Source organism: Homo sapiens, chromosome 13, assembly GCF_000001405.40.
Source record: "Homo sapiens chromosome 13, GRCh38.p14 Primary Assembly".
Taxonomy (NCBI): domain Eukaryota; kingdom Metazoa; phylum Chordata; class Mammalia; order Primates; family Hominidae; genus Homo; species Homo sapiens.
In genome coordinates this window covers 37,361,162-37,384,538 of record NC_000013.11, presented here as the reverse complement: position 1 = coordinate 37,384,538, position 23,377 = coordinate 37,361,162, and the positions used below count along the sequence as shown (strand labels likewise).

The 23,377-nt window shown below is 35.8% G+C and overlaps 1 long non-coding RNA gene across 1 annotated transcript in view; it reads right to left on the bottom strand.

Annotated features, from left to right (window-relative positions):
- LOC124903159 (uncharacterized) overlaps positions 1-22,369 on the bottom strand; it is a 128,664-nt gene extending 106,295 nt beyond the window's left edge. Inside the window, exons 1-2 of the long non-coding RNA XR_007063761.1 lie at positions 22,281-22,369; positions 20,389-20,542 (exon numbers count right to left, since the gene is read on the bottom strand). This is a non-coding gene — a long non-coding RNA (uncharacterized LOC124903159). The remainder of the gene's footprint in view (positions 1-20,388; positions 20,543-22,280) is intronic.
- Positions 22,370-23,377: the final 1,008 nt, after the last annotated feature.

The window sequence follows — 23,377 nt, the reverse complement described above, 5'->3', positions numbered from 1 at the left end:
TCAAATGTCTCTGACATACCCAAAATATTAACTGTAACTACGTCAAGGAAATAATTTTCCTTTTATTACAATCCAAACAAAGAATTTGGATTTTTGAAAGAATTATGAATTACACCCAAAAGTACAGATGTTTCAAGCAGCACAACAGTTTGTATAAATAAGTACCATCTACCATAATACAAAGATTTTGCAACCATTTATTCATCACAGATTTAATATTCCAATTTCTTGAGAAAAGCTGGAGAGATTGGCCCTGACACAAGCCAGACAGATGGAAAGTACTCATCCTAATCTCTGTTTGCCCCAAGTTATCTCAATCACTAGTGCTTTAATTCATTTTTCAAGAAAATCCAGACCCCGCTTTATAATTCATTCAACCAACATCAAATGTCAGGCACTTAGTGGGAGGTAGCAGTCCATGTTGCGTGGACACAACCTCTGCTTTCTAAGAGTCTCTGATTCATTCAAATCTTAAACAACAACTTAGTTGTTTAATAAAGGCTCTTCAACATAAAGAAAGTAAAGTGGGGATAACAAGGGCTTTCCTGATTTGCAGGGCATACAGTATTCTTTGTTTCTTTAGAGCTACTAAGGCAATTTGGGAACTTGAACAAGCTAAGCTGATTCTCTGTTTTCAAAAGTAATTACTTCACTGTTCTTCTCTTTACCTCTTTAAATTGCATCTGTTAAGTCAATAAGCTTAATAGCTTGAAAAGATAATTATTCATTTAAGCCTTCAGATAATTTCTTTACATTTTTAGCTGCTATACTGACAGAGAAAATGAGGTATACTACTTACTAAGTTCTGGCTTTTCAGAAGCCTCAATATTAGAAATTTATAAATAAAAGCTTCAATCTAGCTATTTGTTGTAAATCCAAAAATATGAAAAAAAAGTATAATAGTATATGTGTATACCTTATATGACATATGTGTCACCTTTTATTTGCAAGCCATTGACTACTGTTACCACTCTAAACCAATTTTATATCTTGGAAGATAGGGAAATGAAATGATCAATGGTTCCCACACACGTGAAAACTGTCAGTTTACAGTGTTAACATTAATTTAAATAATCATTATAATCATTTACTGAATTAACATGCACCAGTCACTACATGCTTTCCATGCAATATCTCAATTCTCACGAAAACCCTGAGGGGAGGAAGAAAAAATAAAAGAAATGTCATTATCTACATTTTGCAGTGGAGCAAATTTAAGCTCAATAAGATCAAATAACTTGCCCACAGTGACACAGCTTGTAAAAGCCTGAACTGAGATTCAGTCTTAGGCTGCCTCATTCTAAAGCCCTTATACCATAGATACACTGCCTCTGTCATAACATTTCTAAGATTCCACTAATCACAAAACAAAACTCAGGCAAGATGGAGCACTTGATTCTAATTAGGGAGACAAGGGGATTCTACGACTTCCCCTGGGAGCTCTCTGTAAGTTTAAAATCTTGAAGAGTATCAGGTTGGACTACCCAGAAATTATTTAACTCAGTAAACAAAACTATAGTAAGTTCTGGTAAACAAATCTTTCAGCAAAAACACAAGTTTCATAAGTAAGCCTGCATTCGTCTGACCCAAAGCATGGTTTCACAATTGTGTCCACTGGTCTTGACTTTCAAACCCATTAAGAGCCTTCCCATCACAAAATGGGAACATGTGTGATATATATTCAGGTTCTTCAGTAGAACATTTGTAAAAATACATGGAAAAATGTTCTGAAAATATAGCAAATATGTTTTTTAAAAAATACGTTATGCAAAAAAGTGTCCAGTTAAAATAAGTACTTTTCTCAAAAAGATCATATCTAAAATTTTATCTGATATATTCATGAGGTTCAGAGATTGATGTGGCTTCTGGTTTCCTCCGCTTTCATAAAATTACCATATATTCAATGTTTGGATAAGATAAAGACAGTTTATTCACAGTCCTAGAACTCAGATTGATATCAAACTCTGCTATTCTTGCTTTAGTTGCAGTCCCAAACCACTGAACTCCCTTTCAAGGACAGTAAACCACGCCACCAAATACCCAAAGGGACATCAAAAGTTTGGAAAGAGAAATCAAAAAGCTTAAAGGGTTTTTCACCATCCACAAACAGTCTGTATGGTACACAAAGATTTGCATCAAAAATAAATGCTGACATTTGAGAATAGTGGTTTAGTATTTGTCAAAAATGTAGCCCTGGCAAAACCACGGGTAAGCCTCACAGACTCTGAGAATGCTAACATTCCCAGATGGAAAAAAATGTGGCTACTTCCCTGATTTTGTTTTCTATAAGGTTTGAATAGTTTGTGAGTTACACATCTAAACTTTACACATCTAAAGGAGGAAGAAGTACTGTATAGCTGCAATTTGTGGGCATTGATACAGGCAACTTAAAGAATAATTTAAACTTCTTGCTTCCTGAAATTTAAGACACTGTGTTATTAACTTGCTGCTTTGCTGATCAGAATCATTACACATTAAGTAGTGTTGACTCTCCTCTATTAAACTGGTAGAATTATTAACATTTACAGGTTCTCTCATTGCCCATATACATTTATCCAGATGTTTGGACATTCTTCTCCATCACCCACCCTTGCTCCCCAACCAACCTCCAGTTTGTCCGACTTGCATCAGTTTACTGGGTCCTCCTATGAGACACTTGAATGAAAAGTTCTCCAGAGCTAGAAATAGATATTTTTAGATATTTTTCTTCCTAGTAAGGAAATTGGTTTTTTGATGACAAGAAAATCATTTCTATGTAATGGAGATTTTCCCCCAAGGAATTTTAAATAAATAACACTTAAAGCCACATTTAGTCTGAAATTTTTCATTCGGTCATCTTCCAATCTGGGTGAGTCATGACAGAAAAAAAATATGTCCTTCACCAACTTATGCAGACATTTCTTCAGAATAAGCATGACCTAGATTTCAGGAGGTCAAGTAACTAGGAGGTAAAGTAACTAATCAATATATTGGAGAAGAAAGTCAAATATACAATTGTTAAACTACTTTGTGTCATCTGTCTTTGTGACATAGGTCTGAATTAGACTTTTCAAAACATTTGAAAATTTCAGATAATAATGAATTAGAAAGCTACCAGAAAGCAAATACGGATCACAAATTACTCTTTTCCAAAAGACACAATAATGGAACAGCCACCCAAAATTGAATGCCAAACACATTTAGTACTAACATTCAAAACTCCAAATGTCAGATGGTGATATAATCCCACATCCACGTACTACCATAACAACCAAAAATGATAGACTCATTTAAAATAAAAGTCTGGTAGAAAAGTTTACACAGGTGCAAAAAAAAAAAAAAAAAAGCATTTTCAATATGTATAGTCCATCTTAATTATATTTTATTTAAAATAAATATTCTGCTTGGGGCCTCATGAAAAACTAGAAAGATTTTGTTACCACATCATGTTGAAATAATGTAAATCCTTCGAGAGTGAGGAATATTTCTTATTTACATGGCTGACACCAGAGGACCTAGCACAGTGCCTGCCTCCCAGGACAATGAAAACCACCTGCCCCTATCACACAGGGAGTTCAAGTGCAAATTTGTAGGCCTCACCTCTTATATCTTAAAACAGAAACTTTTGAGTAGATCACAGAAACCTGCACTTTTAATAAGTTCTCCAAGTATTTCTTATGGACACTGAAGTTTAATAACCACTAACAGAAAAGTTACTCAGTAAGTGTTTGATAATTTTGGGACACCAATGTATAGAATCTTGAAGAACCACAGTCAAACTTTCTATTGGAAAAATGGTGTCTGGGCACTAAGCCCAGTCTCCCCCCTCAAAGAGACTGATAATGCTGTCACCAGGCTTTTCATTCTTGCTTTTACTGGTTATATCAAAACTTCAAATCACATCTGCCCCACATCCCAAACCCTGGCACTAGGCCCTCTGGAACCGCCTTTGTAAAATCAGAATTTTTTTTGGAATTCTCTGTATCTTTTCTTAGCTTCCCCCTGTCCCTCATATCCTTAACTTGTCTGATGATACTCATTTCCCCTGCAAGCCTTATAAGTGAGTGCTCACACTAAGTACCTCAGCATGCAGAGGAATGTTGGTGCTGTGGACTGAAGGTTGTGTCCTGCCCAAAATTCATATGTTGAACTCTAAACCCCAAGATGATGGTAGTTGGAGATGTAGCCTTTAGAAGGTAATTGGGTCATAAGGGTGGAACACTTATAAATGGAATTCGTGCCCTTATAAGAAGGGACAGGAGAGAGGTGGTGTCTCTCTTCAACATGTGAGGATACAGCAAGGTGTGTGTCTGTAACCAGGAAGAGAAACCTCGCCAGGAACTTAAGTCACCAGCACCTTGATATTGGGCTTCTCAGCCTTCAGAACTGTAAGGATTAAATTTCTATTGTTTAAGCCACCCAGTCTATGGGTTTTTTTGCTATAGTAGCTAGAGCTGACTAAGACAGTTTGTATCCTACTCTTTCCCCACTGCCACTTACAGACCAATAAGAAGGGTGATGCAGTAAGCCAGATGAGAGCTGATGGCGACTGAGAATGGAATGTGTGGCATTGAAGATAGTGAGAAGTGCTTAGCCTTGAGATATTTGGGATACTGGTACTCTTGAAGACTTAGAGTTTTCTTTGATCTCTGTGTCTCCTCCTTCAGCAAGCTCATCGAAGTCCATGACTTCAATTACCGCATACATACACATGGATGGCTCACATTTCATTTATGTTCTCCACTGATGCCTCTCATTTGATATTCAGTCCCTTATAATCAATTGTCTACTTGGCATCTCCATTTAATTTTCTCAAAAACATCTCAAAATCAACAGTTCAAAAGTTGAAGTTATAATCTCCTCCAAAGTTTAACACACCCCTAACCTGAACAGTAGCCTGTTCCTCTTCCAGTTTTTCTCATCTCAGAAATAGTACCCCCGTCCATCCAGTTACATGAGCCACATGCCTAAAGGTCATTCTGGACTACCCCTCTCCCCTTATCATATAGTCTGTCAGTGAGGCTGTCTATTTGCCTCGTAAGTATTGTATCAATAGACTCTTCTGCATCCCCATCCCTTTGTTCTGGTCCAAGTCACCATTTTCTCTTGAAATTGCCCACTGGTTAGTTTCCCCACAAATCACTTTTATTCCCCCTTGTCTCTTCTCCACAATAATGCAAGAGTCCATAATAATAAATGCCAATGGCTTCTTATTGATTTTATGATGAAAACCAAAAATTTGGATATGATTACAACATGCTCTGGTCCTCTGTCCCTCTCCATACATATTTCCTAAAGTGCTTCCCTTAAACCCAGGCCACAAGGACATCTGGTAGGGTGCTCATTTTGGAAGTTTCCACATATCACAAACACACACATCTACAAGCACACACATGTGCATGCATGCACATAGAAACTATGTTAAAAAGCACCTGGAGCTTTTATCAGTAGAATAGGCGCCTAGCCAGACACACTGCAACCCATATCCTTAAACATCTACTCTGAGACTAACAGTCTTAAGGCCCTGGGGAACATTTCTTCACATCTCTTCCACTATGTTTTCAAAACAAAAGGCGATGGCCTCCAATGCCACCACTGCCAGTTGCAGGAGCAAGACACCAAGAGTGGTGGAGGACTGTGGGCAAGTTACTTAAACACTCTGAAATTTGACATGTCACTAAAAACGACAATAAACATACCTACTTCATAAGGTTGTTTACAATAACATAAACCCTGCACATGGCAATTCAATAAATAGTAAAAGATAATGTTGATCCTTAACATGATCATGATTTCCCAGGTCCCACCACATGTAATGCTCCACTTATTTTTCCAAGTTGTCAGAACAGTCTGCCTGGAAATGAAATCATAGCGTGCAATTACCCTGGAAAACTAAATCCAATCCCCCTTTTGTTTTTGCTGCCAGAAATTTTTTAAAACATGAGAACTACAATGAACCAGTACAGCTGAATTTTAATTATGGAAGAAATATTTTATTAAGTGAATCTATCATGCTGACATACAAATTGATATTGCACTACACTGCCTCCCTTGACCACTCATTTATAACTCAAAACTCTTTAATACTTTTCTATTTATCTGCAGATAGCATTTGAAAAACACATCGGAAAATCATATTTGAAATTACATTCCATGTGGAGTGCTTATTATTGATGGCCATAACTTTTACTATACAGATCTTCAAATGTGATTCTAATTTTATTTGTGTGGCTATAGATGTGTTTCCAACACTCTGGCTCTCAGTGCCTTGACCACCTTCTCCACCAATGGCCTTCTCCTCTACTCCACTTCAACCACTCACTCACATGGCCATAGCCTCAAACTTGTCATTACCAATGTTTGCAGACCTACCATATCTCAATTTCTAGCCATCTCTCTCCTTTCTTCTCAATCTCCAACATCTTGTCACCTATCCACACACTGAACTGATAATCTTACTGCCTATTTCCCTAAAAACTAGAAGTTGCCCTTGATCTTCTTCTCAATACAGCAGCCACATTGGTCTAATTAAAATGTTAATCAGATTGTGTCATTTATCTCCTTAGAACCCCCCCAATTCCACAACCCCCAATGACTTTCCATCATGCTCAGCAGAAAAGTTATGCCCTACAATGGCCTAAGAGTAGAATAAAAAAGGAGCACCATTGATAACTACATCAGAACAATACACATTAGTTGGAAATTTGGGCAAAGTGAGAAGTGAATTTCACCTATGTGGATTTGGATCTTATGACCTACTAGTTTTCCCTTGCTTACCCTACTACAGCTGCATGGTGCTTCTCACTGTTTCTTGAATACACCTAGGCATGCTTCAGCCTAGGCCCTTTTCACCACTATTCTCTTTGCCTTAAACATTCTTCTCCAAGAAACTCTGTCAGTCTGCTTCCTCACCTTTGAGTCCTTACCTTCCTCAGTGAAGTCAGGTGTCCCCTTGATCCACTATCTAAAACTACCACATAGCTAATCTGTATCCTTCTCCAGCTTTGTTTTTCTCTTTGGCCATTATTACTATCTAACAGGCTATATATTTTACTTATTCATTTTATTCATTTTCTTATTATCTGTGTTCCAACATAGGCACTCAAATATATACACTCCCTATAGGCAGGGATTTGGGAAAGGAGCTCCCTCAATAGACATTTACCTTTGAGTCTGACCGAGGGTGACCAGTTATTCAGTTCAAGTAGCCTCACTTCTCCAATATGGTCCATCTCACAAGAAACAAGACTTTCAGCATCTGGAATGTGGACTGGTTAGGTAAATAGAAAGAGCAAGGAAAACACTCAAGGGATAAGGATATACTTACTCATGACAGGAGAAAAGGAAGGTGAGAAAATCAAGAGAGAACCTTGGGGGCTGGCGTAGGAGAGAAGCCTCATAGAGAGGGAAATGGCTCTTAAGCTTGGCCTTGAAGAAAATGGAACTGGAAGGAATGAGGAGGAAGAAGAAATTTCTGAGCAGGGAGGAAAAGTTGGCAAAGCAGGAACAGAAATGATGACGGTATCTTAGTTTGGATTATCCCTCAAGCCGACCTGGGGGGAGGACAACTTATTTCCATGTAATTCCAGGAAGCACAAGTGGGGAAGGAGGGAAAATGACACAGAAAAGAGACAGAAACTAATCAAGTGTATGACAATGACTGGGTAACCGCTATGGGCACTGTAGCTCAATTTTCCTGGAGAATCTAACACATTCTATTAGCTTTCTATAGCTGCTATAACAAGTTACTACAAACTTAGCAGTGTAATTCAACAGAAATTTATTATCGTATAGTTTTGGAAGTCAGAAGTGCAAAAATGGGTCCAACAAAGCTAAAATCAAGGCATCAACAAAGCTGTGTTCCTTCAGGAACTTCTATGGGAAAAGCTGTTTCTTGGCCTTTTCCAACTTCTAGGGATTGCCCACATTCCTTGACTTGCTGCCCCTTCCTTAACAGCCTCACTCCACTTCCATCATTACATCTCTTTCTTATAAGTCCCCCTGTGATTACATTGAGACCACCAACATAATTCTCCCCATCTCAAAATTCTTAATTCAGTCACATCAGTCATCAAAGTCCCTTTTGATCTGTCAGGTAACTTAGTCACAGGTCTGCGGGTTAGCACGTGGGTATCTTTGGGTGACCATTGTTCTGCCTGCTTAGATACCATGTGGAAAACACTTCAGAACCATTCTCCCACCACTACAAGGATGGGAAACTTGGGGCACACGACTCTAATTTCTAGCCTGGACGATTGGTTGCAGGTTGCCCTGGGCTGTACCTGCATACAGCTGAGCAAATTCACAGATTTAGGAGACAGTCGCAGGCAGAGAAGAAGGCACCAGGGATGGGATGCTGCCAGTGGTCAGAAATTGTTCCAAGGGCAGGGCACCACTGTACCTGGTAGCCACGATGCAAACAGAGGTTAAATAGGGAGTATGTGTGGGGAAACCATAGGAATAGTATCGAACAGATAAGACTGGCACAGATGATGCAGTGCCCCAAAAGCCAAATAATTGATGCTAGGGAAACGTGAGTTTTTAAGAGAGGTGATGAAAGCAGTATTTTAGGGAGATTTATCTCACAGGAGAATACTGAGAGCCCAATACAAATAATGCTCTAATAATCCAGAGGTAAGATGATGAAATGCTATGACTCAAAGTATACACCCAAGAATTGAAAGGAAGCAGCAAAGACAAAAAAATAAATAAAGGTCTTGGTACTAAAAATAGGATTCAAGGAGAAAGAAAAATCAATCATAAGTTTTCTAACTTAAAACGCTGAAATAATAGTATCTATAGGGAGTTGAGAATGAAAATTATTCTGGAAGGATAGATTGGTTCAATTTCGGGTTCATTAAATTTGAGATAAAGTGATGATAGTGTATACCCAAATTGAGCTGTCAAGTCATAAAATTTTTCTAAATATCCCTCATCTACACATTTCTAATTAAATTAGAAATCTTATTCAAAACAACCAAGATCACTACCATTTTATTTCATGGGTAAATGGGAAAATATTGTAAGAATTCTCATTATTCCATTTCCATTAATATATTTCCAAGCAGCTCTCCAAATTCATCTATATCCCTTTTATTACACATTTAATAGGAAAGTAGACTTTCTTGAACCCAGAGTTTCAGACTTCTTGTTACAGTATTATTAAGATACTCTACAGACAAACAAGAAATGCAGAACTGTGTATTGAAAATTCTATTGGTCTTGGAGTTCAAACGTCTGGATCACAGCCTTACCTAGCCCTTACAGCACCTGACTGTGCAAACTTGGGTGAGTCACTCAAGTGATCTGAGTGTCTGTTTTATTGTTTGATACTGAGGGATAGGGAATGTACTACTTCTAATGTTTCTTCCAGCCCAAGAAGCCTCAGCTGTCAGCAGACAAACTGCCAAATTCATCACCAATTTGGTCAAATTCTAATCACTCTAATATCATACACATGTTATCTGAGTATATTATTCAATTGTCTATTTTTTAAAGCCAAAGTAAAAAGAGTTAAATGAATGCTGTGAATTGGAACTACCGCGAAGCAACCTGCATTAGTTTTATTAACAATATCTTACATTTGGTAGCACTTTATAGCAATCTTTTATATATTCTTCTCTTACTTTACCTTAAAAGCTAGTTTATATGCATGTTAATATTTGTCTCATTTTACAATTCAGAAAACTGAGACTCAGGCGATTGCCCAGGATTAAACAACCAGTGATAGAGTCTGAACTCAAACTCAGCACTGACACCAAGTCGAATAGTATTTTTATAACACTAAAATATTTCTCAATATGCCAGACATGTAATGTCTAAATATAATTTCAGACTTTAAGATAGAGATTTATTTTAACAAAGATAGTTTACTTACTGACAAAGAAGTCTTATATTTTGTAATTATGACTTGCTGTATTGTAGAGTACATAGCATTATATTTTTAAGAGTTTACATCATTTACGTATCTATCTGGAGAAGGAGACTCTCAGGATAGAAAACATGTTTATCTGTATCTACCATGTGGCCTGGCACAAAGTAGGTTCTAAAAAGCTTTGAGATATGAATATAGTGAGTTTAAATGGCATATCCATGGAGTATTTTATTTCTGTTTAATACTTATAATTGCTGTCTGCTGTCTTTATTGTATGAAAGATGTTAAAAGTTACCGTACATTTTCACAAGGTACTTATTTAAACTGTCATACAAAAAAAGCTGTAAGTCAGAGAATAGACAAATCCACAATAATAGGTGAAGTCTTTAAAAATACTCTCCTAGTAATTTATTGAATGAGACAAAAAAGATAAGAATATAAAAGATCTGAATCTATCAGTTTTACCTAACAACCTTTTTATTCATTCAACAACTACAAAATGCACATTTTTATCAAGTACACATAGAATGTTCACCAAGTTAGAAATCTGTTTGGCTACAAAGTAATTCCTAATAAGTTTTAAAAGACTGAAATTTATAGAGCATGCTCTCTATCACAAGATTTAACCAGAAATTGTGAATGAAAAGATGTCCACAGAAAATGAAATAGTATGTGAAGAGACATCTGCATTTTCATGTTATTGCAGCATTGTTCAGAATAGCCAGCATATGGACTCAACCCAAGTGTCCATCAGTGAATAAATTGATAAAGAAAAGGTGATATATATTCACAATGGAATACTATTCAGCCATAAAAAGAAGGAAATCTTGCCATTTTTTACAGAATGGCTGGAACATTTGGGGAGGGGATTTGGGAGGTTGGTCAAAGGACACAAAATTTCAATTAGTTAGGAGGAATAAGTTCAAAATATCTGTTATGCAACAGGGTGACCATAGTTAATAACAATATATTGTATTCTTAAAAATGCCAAGATAGTGCATATTAGGTATTCCCACCACAAAAGTGATAACTATATGAGGTAAAGCATATGTTAATTAGCTAGATTTAGTCATTCCAAAATGTGTACATATTTCAGAACATCATGCTGTACATGACAAATACATATATTTTATGTCAATTTTTTAAAAATATATACACACGTACACACGCACCTGGGGAATCCCCCATTTAGAATTTTAAAAAACAACTTATAAATAACCCATAAATAAAAAACAAATCACAGATGGAATAAGAAAATATGTTTAATTGAATGACAATTTAAAAAATTGTGTGTGTTTGTAAACTTGTGAATACTACTAAATCAGGGTTTAGAAAAAAACTGATAGATTTGTTTATTTTCTAAAGAGGAGAGGTTCAAAATCAATTATCTATGTGTCTCCCTACAGAAATTAGAAAACGATAAGCAAATTAAACCTGAATTAAGCAGAAAGAAAATAAGGGAGGACTCAGTGAAACAGGAAACAAACTATGGAGAAAATTCACGAAGCTAAATGTTAGCTCTTTGAATCTAAGACCTTTGAAAGATTAATGAGGAAGAAAAGAGAAAACACAACTTACCAATAATACAATGAAAGAGAGTTTTTCCCCAGCGCTCCTATAGATATTACAAATATAATGAGTATTATTTGCAATATTATGGCAGCAAATTTGAAGGCATTGAGATCAGAATGAAAGAAAGAAAACTGACTCAATTTGAAGATGATATAAAACTCTCAGGAGTTAAAACAGAAACTGCTAAAACTAACAAGTGAATTAATAACATTGTAAGATACAAGGTTAACATACAAAATATAATTACAGTCCTGTATACCAACAGCAAAGGTTTGGAAAATAAAATTTAAAACAATTTTTTAACACATGGTAAAAAAAACATTAAATATTTGAGAATAAATTTAACAAAATACACACAAAACCTCCACAAAAACTATTTCTGAAAGAAATTAAAGATCTAAATAAAAGGAGAAATATATACATGTTTATTGATTGAAAGACACAATATTGTTAGGATGTTAATTCTTCTTAAATTAATTTATAGATTTAATATAATCTCAATACTAACACAAGATAATTTTTTAATATACTTTGATAAGATGCTCCTAAAATTGATATGGAAATGCATAGCCAAAACAATCTTGTAAAAGAACAAATCTGGAGGACTTATGGGTCCTCACTTGGAGACTTATTACAAATCTATAGCAATGAAAATACTTTGATATTGGTACAAGGATAGGCAAATGGAGAATAAAGTCCAGAAAGAGACCCACACTTAGCCAATTGATTTTTGACAAAGGGACTAAAGCAATTAAATGGAGAAAGGAAAATCTTCTAACTGATGAAATATAAAGAAGTCTATATCATACGGAAAAAAAAACCCCTCAACTCTTACTCACACCATACATAAAAATCAATTTGAGATAGATCATAGACCTAACTGAAAATTCAAAAACATAAAGCTTTTAGAAGAGAAGATAGGATAATAGCATTACTACCTACCAGTAGGAAAAGATCTAGATTAGACACAGAAAATAATAAGAAAAAAGGAAAATATTGACATATTGGACTTCATCAAAATTAAATATCTGCTCATCAAAGGAAATTGTTAAGAAAATGAACAAGCAACCACCACTGGGAGAAAATATTCACAAAACATATATCTGATCATGGACCCATATCCAGAATATGTTAAGAATTCTTAGAATCCAAAGTTTTAAAAGACAACTCACTTTTTTTAAATGAGCAAAAATGTGAACACTTTACAAGGAAAGATGTACAATAGTCATTAAGCTCACAAAAGTGCTCAACATCATTAATTCATCATCAGAATATTACAACTAAAGTTACAATAAAATACCATTTATAGCCACTAGAATAACTAAAATTAAACAGACTGAAAATATCAAGTGATGCATATGATGCAGATACAATTTGAACTCTCATTCATTGCTGATGAGAATGTAAATGGTACAACCCCTTTGGACAAGTGTTCCTCAGTTTCCTGTAAAGTTAAATATTCACCCCTACTACAACTCAGCACTTCATTTCTGGGTATTTATTAAACAGAAATTTAAAAACATCTGTTCACACAAAGACTGGTACACAAATATTTACAAAGTTTCCTTCATTATAGCCTCCAAATGAAAAAAACTCAAATGTCCATTAACAGGAAAACAAATAAATTATAATATATTCACAAATGGAATACTATTCAGCAACAAAACAGAACTATTATAATAAAACATGAATAAATCTTACAGACATTGTGCTGTGCTAAAGGATTTGAATATGGTAGAGTACATATAGATGAAGTTCCAGAACAGGAAAAATTAATCCATGGCCAATAAAATCAGGAAAACAATAATTAAAGGAAAGGCAAGGGTATTGACTCAGAAGGGGCTTCAGGCAACTTTCTGAGATGATGAAACTACTCTCTATCTTGCAGATGTGTGTGCTTCACATCAATGAATGCATTTGCCTAAATTTGTTGTATTTTCCACTGAATTTTGTGCATACAAAATTTTGGTATATAATTTTACCTTCAAAAAATGTTGCAAACAAATATTGAACTCTTGTTTGGAGACTGGCTTTTCACGGTAGTGTGGGTTAGCAATTCTGAAACTATTTTCTAGGCATTCTAGTCTAGAAGGGTGTATTAGGGCTCCCAAGATAAACAGAACCAATAAGATGTATGTAGATATACAGACAATAGATGGATATAGATATAGACATAGACATAGATATAAAGATATAGATGTAGACGTGAATACAGAAAAAAGATAGAGCGATTTATTTTAAGGAGTTGGCTCACATGATGATGGGGGCTGGTAAGTCTAAAATCTACAGAGCAGGCTGGCAAGCTGGAGACCCAGGGAACCATTGATGCTGCAGTCCAGAATACAAAGGCAGTCTGAAAGTGGAATTCCCTTTTCCATGAGGGATCTCAGTCAGATGAGTCCCACCCACCACATGCAGAGTAATCTGCTTTACTCAAAGTCTACTGATTTAAATGTTAATCACACCTAAAATATCTTCACAGCAACATCTAGACTGTTGACCATATAACTGGTTACCATACTCTGGCCAAGTTGACATATAAAACTAACCATCACAAAGGGATTTACAACTATAAAAATGAAGAAGTTTTAAAATATATCCTGTGACACTGAATCGGAATTGGAGGTATCAGTATGAATGCATGGTTTCTACTGAATAGATACAGACATAAATATAGATACAGCTGCATGTACACCCACATTCACGCACACACATTTCCTACCTCTGTTTGCTGACAAAGCCTAGGAACAAGGACAGGCCAGTAGTAGTAACCATACCTAGCACGGAGATTTTAGTTTCTAAATACCATTTTACACTAAACGGCATCGAGGCTCCCTAGAGAAAAGGCTGATTCTAGGTCTGGGACAAGGAGGGCATAAATGAGCCTAGAATATCTGACTTACAGTACAAGAAAGTACTCAAAAAGTTGTGTAGACAACAAAAGGACACAGAGAACAGTGTGAAGAGGCTCCTACCAGACAATGAAAAAATTCTGGAACAATGAATAAATAAATGGAGGAGAAGAAAACATCCTTTGAGTAGTGGAATGCTACTCTAATACATGTAGAAGTAACAAGGAGAAACACATCCATGAATGCTAAAATCAGTGAATGAAAATTTTAAGGAGCATCATTTACATGTTATCAGTGTATCTCCCCACAAGTTACTTGTTAAATCAAAAGGAAAATTATTTTACAATGGAGAGACCTGGCTGACATAACCTTAATGATAAGCAGTTTTGGACCAAGCCAACATCACATGATTCCTGACATGATGCACTCAGAAGGACACGAATCATTGCTGTGGTATTTCTGCTGAAAATGGATAGCTTTAATATAATCATGAAAAACTGTCCCACAAATCCAAATTGAAGGTCATACTACAAAACAGCTAGTCCATAATCTTTAAAAAATACCAGTCAAAACGGTCAAAAACGACTCACAAACTGTTCTAGCTTAAAGCTGGCTAAAAACCGAAGGCAATGCATGATTGAATTGCTTCATTACTAATTTACTATTAGGTGGATCCCGGATCAGGGAAAAAAAATAGCTATAAAGGAAATTATTGGGACAACTGATAGAATTTAAATATGGGCTGTGTACTAGATAATACTAATGCACCAATGAAAAAGCACATGGTTTCAATAATTATACAATGGTAAGGTAAGAAAATCCTCTAATTTTAGCAAGTATACTAGAAGAATTATTGTAAAAGGGTACCATATCTCCAGCTTATCCTAAAATGATTAGGAAAATAAACTATGATCACATACATAAATATATGTGTAAATATAAATATTAAAAATACAAATAAATTATACATGTATATTATAAACATAACTTATGAATTTATAAATTCATAATTACAAATTTAAATTATATATATTCATATAAATTTTACAAATACATATAAATATAAATGATAAAGCAAATGAAATAAATGTAAACAATTGGCAAACATAGATTAAAGAATATCCAGGGTACTTTTACTGTTCTAGCAACTTTTCCTTAAATTTACATATAAAACTAAAAACAAATCAAATAAAAACTCTAAAACTACCAAAAAAAAGCCTGCAGAATATTTTTAAATGAGTATGAAGTTTCTTATGCACAGAAAAATACCACAAAAAAGGTGCTCAATATATATTTATTAAAGGTTGAATGAATAAAACTGTCTTCTTACAAATATAAAAGCTTTTTGTAAGTTAGGAAAAAACTGTGAAACAGTAAAGGTTTTATTAAGAATTCGAGATCCAATCTTTATAATTCATACCACATTTTTCAGTCCCCAGATAATCATATCACAATGCACACCATGCAAATATTTTTACTTGATTGGACAAATTCGAGCACAAAGATAAACAAGAAGTCAATTTATCCCCAAAATCATTTTGGCTTTTCTTCCCAGTGGATTTAAAGATAGGTTAAAAGGCTAACCATGCAGTCACTTTCTACTTCAACCTGTACGTAACAAATTAGCTCTCAACTCTTTAACTCTCATGGGGCATGCAACTTTTCTTTTGTGTAAAATATTGAACATCTATTTGATAAGGTTTCGGGATGCCTTTCAGAACAGGATGACATAACATATTTTCTGTTTCCCATATGATCCATCCGTCATTTTTACTGCTTGATGCAGCATGTCACTAAATTTGTAAGAAATCCATTTCACAATTACACCATCCAGACCACTTGGGTCAGAGTAAAAATCTCTCTTCATGAAGGTTTATAAGTTGTTAAAAATGAATATCTGAGAATTTGAATAATGATGTACAGTAATTTTTATTACAATTTGATCACTATAAACACTAGAAAAAGTTTATTAAAATCATCTTATTTATATTTTGAAGGAATGATAACAGAAAAACAAAAATATTATTTAGTGAGAAAAACATTCTTCCAATATCCGCAAAGCTATCAAGATTTTAATAAACAACTGGTAAGCCTATTTCTATACAAATCTAGGCAATTGTTATTGTAATCCACATTTGAGAGCAAAACAAATATTGAAACTATGGCTCTGTTTAAGGAAGGAAGCAATGTGAGAGATGCTGGCAATAGTTATCAATGGTTTATTATATGCTAGGGACTACATTCAATATGAATATGCAGATAAGAAGACCCTATCACAGTAGGCAAGCAGGAAATACTATAAGGAACATTGGAAGAAACCTCACCTCACTTGAGGTGGCACACCTCAATAATTCAGTGAAGGTGTCCAATAGGAGCTAATTATGCCTAAGCTGAGTTCTGAAGGCTCAGTGAAATCTATCCAGATAAAGAAAGCAAGAGAATGTATTTCCCGGGAAGGGAGCAGCAAAAATGAAGGCAACGGGGTAGGCAAAGACATACATGCTTGGAAAACTGCAAGGAGTTCGATAAGCCTGGAGCAAAAGTTGACAGCGAGTGTAATGACAAATCAGACTGAGTAGTTGATCATGGACTTGGGTATAAAAAGGCTAGAATGCCATGGCAAGACAGCATGGATTTTGGATTACATCCAAACAACTATGGAAAACCAATAGGGAAATTTTAACTGAGGGGGTGACATAATCTTTTTTTTAAGAGAACATTTATTCCAATGGATTTTAAGTGCAGTCAGACAGTCATCAATTCAATGTAGATATCTCGAAGGCCTGATTAAGCTGATGATTGAGGAGAATAACATGGAAAAGCACTTCTTTTTCCTTCTCTCCACATTTCCCATCAACAACACATAAAATACAAACACCACCAAAAAAGTATGGAAGGTGGCTTCAGACCTCCTCTCCACCACTTCACCAACCCACCTGCTCACTCTGCTCCCAGGAGGAGAACTGATTGACCCAATGGACAGCACAGGGGAAAGGAAACGGCTCCACTGTGCAGGCTTTGCCTCTAGTTGCCTTTGAGAACAGACCCGCATGAAGGAGGGGTCATTGCCCTTCTCCACTGGAGTCCATCACACACTAACAAACCCGTGTCAGAGTCCAGGGACTGCCTTTCAGAGGCAAGTCAGCAGGCCCATGTCTACTTAGAGATCCCTGTTTTCAGGATTTCTCCTCAGGTGTGTAAGTTGAGTTTCTGTTCCCTGTGCTGTCTGCTACATAGTGTAGGCTGTACCATGGTTTCCCCAGATGAATCCTGAGATTCAAACCTGGGTAAAGCAGTGGGAAGCCTCATTTTGACCATCAATTCAGGCTTCATTTTCCAACCCAGTTTTAGCAATAATAAAGGTAATAATCTTTACCAGACTTCCACGTCTAATTCTGGTTTAGTATTCAGAATCAGAATTTCCAACAATAGGGAGAGGAAGATAGAGTTCATAGAACTATAGATGAGTATAAGGTGGAGATAAAGAAAAGGATAAGAGAGTCAAAGGTGGCCCCTGCATACAACACTTTGTCAACAGCTTCTCCACCATAGTCACGGAGAGCTGAAATTCAGAGAAGAAGCAGTGATTCATCTAGCTTGGAAAAGAAATTTTTTTCTAATATGCCATCCTTGGTCTCAGTGTATTCAGGCAGAAATGCCTTGGCAGGACATTCGAGGAAAGGAGGAATGCCAGAATATACATCTTCAGCCCACAGCACTAAGAGGAGGCAAGCAGAGGGGAAACAGTTTTATTAACACCACATAGTTACTGCCTTCCTTGCAGGTAGGCTGAGACCTGAGACCTCAAATTAGGGACTCGACCAGCAGTGATTCACATTTCTGAGAAAAGTGCTGTAAGACATTAAGTGACATTCAAAACAAATTTGTTATTTCAGGTAAAATTAAATAAGTGTCACTGACATCTCACATTATGCCTCTATGCGTAATGCATTCTATTTTTCCTTTCTCTACGTTAGGATTTGAAATCTAAGCAGAGCCAAAATCCAATACTCCATCATCCATTGACTAACATATTTTCCAGCTCCTTCTAGGCCTGTTTTCTCATGTTGTGAAATCTAAAACTATCCAAAGAAAATGTGTGCTGTGGATTGACAAATTTCTCAGATAACTTGCCACTTCATTATTTTTTGGTGTATAATAACATTGAGAATTAGAACAGATGTTTTAATATATGAACTGAAATCAATATAGCATTTTGGTAGAGTATGGAATTTCATGTTATCCTAATACATCCTCGGGGATCAAGCTTTTTAAAAAATTAATGCTTGAAGAACTGAGTAAAAACAATAAATTCATGTCTTTAATATATTAAATATTAATAAACAGTACTACACAAAAATTTGATTGCAATATTGACTGAAAGACATTAACGTGTTACATCCTACTGCTTTATAGCCTGGAATATCATTAATTTAAGAAGAACTTATTCAAATTAGTTCTTGCTACTATGAACATAAAGAAATGTTTTACATAGTCTATTTTTTACATAAATGAACACTTTGTTTTGTCTTTCCCAGGAGAGTAGGCATAAAGAGTGATGTGTTTCCACTTGGCAGTATTTCTTTTTTTTTTTTTTCAAAGGAACATTGGCTCACTTGATACACAGCCCTCAAACAATATTTGTTGAATAAATGAATGAATGAATGATGATCACATGTGATCCTGATTCATCGATACAGAGAGGAAGAGAGGCAGTTTAGGCAAAAAAGGTAAAATAAAATTTATTTTTAATGAACAAAAATCCTACTATTTAAAAAGGGAAAGTGAAAAGTAGAAAACCAGAAAAGAGTATCACTCAAGAGCTATTTTTTAATTTGGCTACACTCCACAACGACCCACCCGCCCCCTGCCCTGCCCACACACACACACAAACAGAGGCTACCCCGTCTATATCACCCCTCAGATAAAGCTAAAGGTGGGTCATAAGGAAAACTCTGGAAGCATAAAGAGCAGGAAATTTTTATCAGTGCTTTTTTTCCATTCCATAATACATTGTCCTAGTTATTGCTCTTTATTTCAAAGAAAAATAATTGTCAATCAAGAGCCCTTGGTATTCAGGAAAGCGGTGTTTGTAGAACACACTCAAGCTACTCAGAGTAAAACATAAGTTGGGAATCTGGAAAACACACATTTTCTAAATTCCTAATAATATATTCATATGGAAAACTTACTTTCACATTAATAATACTCTAACCCAATTGACTCCACTAAGAAACAGAGACTACCAGGTTTATAATTTGGATAAATAGTAAGCTACTTGTATCAAATTTACAGAAGTTCGACATCATAGATGCTTCAGAAAATTTCTCACATTTGGAATGGTAGACTAAAAAGGCTATACTTGCTCTTAGCCGTACTATAACTCAAAAGAAATCCTGCACTAGGCTTGGTTAACACAGTGTTCCATCCAAAAAAAAAAAAAAAAAATTCCTCGAACAGAACAAATAATCTCATTAATAAGGCAAATAACCACAAACAGGCAAATAATCTCATAAGTAAGTTATCAATAATATTCTGGTTGCCTGAATCACATTTGCAATGGTTTAAATTTATCATTAAAGAATGGAATTGACATTGAAACGTAAAACATATAGATAAAATTAATAAATATTGTATCATCATGTATCTTGCTAATAGTTGGTTAGTAAGTAGGACAAAGTTCTTAAAAGACATCTACTAAGTTTTGATAGTTTCTTAAAAGACATCTACTAAGTTTTGATAGTGATTATGCCTGTATACTTGGATTAGAAGTGATATCTTTTTTGCTTGTCTGCCTCATTCAAATTTATTTTTATAATACAAAATTAAAAAAATTATATTCATGTTCATGATATATGGTAATCACTTGCTAATTGAGGATAAAAAAATAGATTCACTTTCCTTTTAATTTCCAAAAAAAAAAAAAAAAAGAGGCTTATGGCTGCTTACTCCTGTGTCTACTACAAGAAGTCTGAACTCTGGAAATTCCTGTCAGCCCCTCATTTACTGCCAACTTTAGCAACTGCTTTTGTTCATTTTGATAACTCAGCTGCCTCTTTATTCCCTACAGATCAATGGTGAAGCTCAACTACATGAATCATAGCCACTTACCACATTTTATTAATTTAGTTGAACTTGGTATTTCTTAGTTGCGGGTTTCATTCAACTTTTAATTTTCTGTGTATAACAGAAGTAGCAACTCATTGAGGATGTACAGCTCCAACTTTTCTCCTACTGACTTTCTGCTCCTTTTGGAAAATCCCATCTGCAGAAGAAAACAGCAATTTGACAATTTGATTGAATGTGCTCCTGCATGTAACCTAGAAGGGACTTTAGGGATAAACTCCGGATTATAGTTCATGGTGGTAATTTTGTCAGCTTTCATGCTTATAAAAGTACGACATTATTTTCTTAATTAGTAATTTCAAACAGTTTTCATGTGTTGAGTTTAATGGTTCCCTCACTGTCAACACCAGGATGTTGAAGCAAGATCAGTTTCCTTTTGCTCCTTTCTTCTCCTCTCCTATCCCCTTATAATATCCAATAACTAATCAAAGTAGTTAGGCCTGTGTTATTCCAAGGAAAGTCTTCCAACTCTGTCTAACTACTCTTTCCACAGCTGGATGAAGCTAGCCATGTAGGTAACAAGTTTATATTTTCCAGTACATCTTTATTTCCACACAGACAACCACCCTTCTCTGTGGATGTGAGTCTGAGGTGGGATTTCCCTATCATCTCTGTGAAAGAGTAATGAGAGAAGCTGAGGCTCAGGAAAATGAAGCAACTTGGCAAGACGTCCCAGGTTCACTCTCTTCAGCCATGACCATCCCCACTGGGGACTGACAGCTGACGACTCTTTATGGGCAGTAGCTTCCGGAGTGAGTCCTGCGTTCCTGAATGTCCAACGAACAAGGTCATAAGGAAGATGGTGGAGCTGGAATTAACCTGGGAGTGTACTTACTTCAGGTCTCCTTCTTCCATTTAATTGGCTGAGCACTAAACTCATTCCAGCCAATAATCAACCACCACACAAGTTCTAGGGCTTCATGACCAGAAATGAACACCCACTAGAACAAGAAAACAGAGGTTTCCCTCAGCCTCTCTTACTTCCTTTTTAAATATCAAGATAATTCATGTGTGCCCGGTGAGATGGCTCACGCCTGTAATCCCAACACTTTAGGAGGCCGAGGCGGGAGAACTGCTTGAGGCCAGGAGTTGAATACCAGCATGGGCAGCATAGTGAGACCCCTTTTCTACATACACACACAAATGGCAGGAAGATCCCTTGAACCAGGAGTTCCAGGACTGCAGTGAGCTATGATCATGCCACTGGACTCTAGACTGGGCAAGAGAGTGGACTTTGTCTCAAAATAAGAATAAGAATAAGAATTCATGTGCTTAGCTTTAAAAGATAGTACTACAAAACTTATAATGAAAAAAAAAAAGAGTCCTTTCTACCATACCCACCCTTTTAGGGCTTCCTCCAGAGGAAACCAATTTCAACTCCTTTTAGCTGTTTCTTCTGGTATCTGTCTCTATATTTCTAAAGACAGACATACATATCTACTTTTGACTTGACAGTTTCAAACATTATTGATCAGTTTCCTCCTATGAAGGATGGAGATTTACCTGTTTTGTATTCCCACAAACTTGCTCTCTCACTCCTCTTCTACCACCCCCCTCTCAATATCACTCCTCTCAATATCACAAATGTCAAAGCAATGGTCATAGCTCACATTAATAGGACTTAAATCTTATCCACAACTGATTCACATCATGTACTAAAATTTTGTTCCTCTTAGAATTGCCAATTTTTGCATTTTTCTTGTTTTCTAAACACCTAACACTAATTCTTACCCACGTTATTTTAAAGGACTAGTAAAAAAAAAAAAAGCTCCTTTAATACAATCAAACATCCTAATCAAAAGGTTCCAACTTCTCTTTCTTTGCTGCATGGCTCCAGGAGCACTCCCTAACCTGCTCCAGCCTGTTGTCAGCTATACCTGCTGCTCAGCTGGCCAATGGTATTTCTCTTTATCCACATCCTGGAGATTTCTTCTCTCCTGCTGGACTCTATTTTCTGGACCCCAGGTCATCCTCATTCATGGCTTCTCCCTCTTTCTGTTGCAGCAGATCAACTGTTCACTTCATGAGATAAGAGTGCTTTTAAGAGACATAACATTTTTTAGAATTCCCATGTCTCAAATTGTCTTATTATAGCTGCAATGTATGATGTATAATTTGGCTGGATGTATAATTCTAGGTTGAAAAGTTAATTTCCATGGTCAATTTGCTCCTTTGTCCACCAGTTAGTATTGTTGCCCTTGAAAAATCTGTCATCCTGATCTCTGTCCCTTTGTGTATATCCTCTGCTTTGGTTCTCTTTGGAAGATTTTAGGGTTGTCTTCTTCTTGGTATTCTGGACTCTTGCAATGATGAGGCTTAGCGTGACTCATTTCTCATTTATGTGCTGGATACCTGGCCAAACCTTTCAGTCTAGAAACTGATAACTTCAGTTATAGAACATTTTCTGGCATTGTGTTGCTATTTTTCTTCTCTCCATAGTCACTATCCTTTCGAAACTAAGATTAGCTAGATGTCAGATCTTCGAGCTTGACTGTCTACCTCTTGTATCCTTTATCCTTTTGCTTATATTGTATCTCTTTATTTACTTGTTTAGTTATGAGGAAATTGCATTAATATCTTCCAAACTTTACTAACATTTTTATTCCTGCTCTAGTATTTTTCATCCCCAGGAGTTCTTTTATTCTGCAATGCTTTCCTTCTGCTTTTAAAGTATTCTAGGATAACTTTTCCCAAATCTGTCTGAAGATGATTTTGTTTTACTTTTTTTTCTTTTGTCCTCCTGACTGTGCTGTTTTTCCCTCTACTCCAAATTCTCAAAGGACTTAAAAGCTAGCATTCAGTAAACAACTTATTTTTTTCTCAGGAAAATATGTAAGTGATCATACAGCTGAGGAGACATGGGTTATTAAATATTTTGTATTAATGATTACTCTGACAATTTAGTATCAAAATAAGCTCTTATTTATGCCCTAATCAACAGCACAAATATGAATAAATGCTAGCACAGAAAATC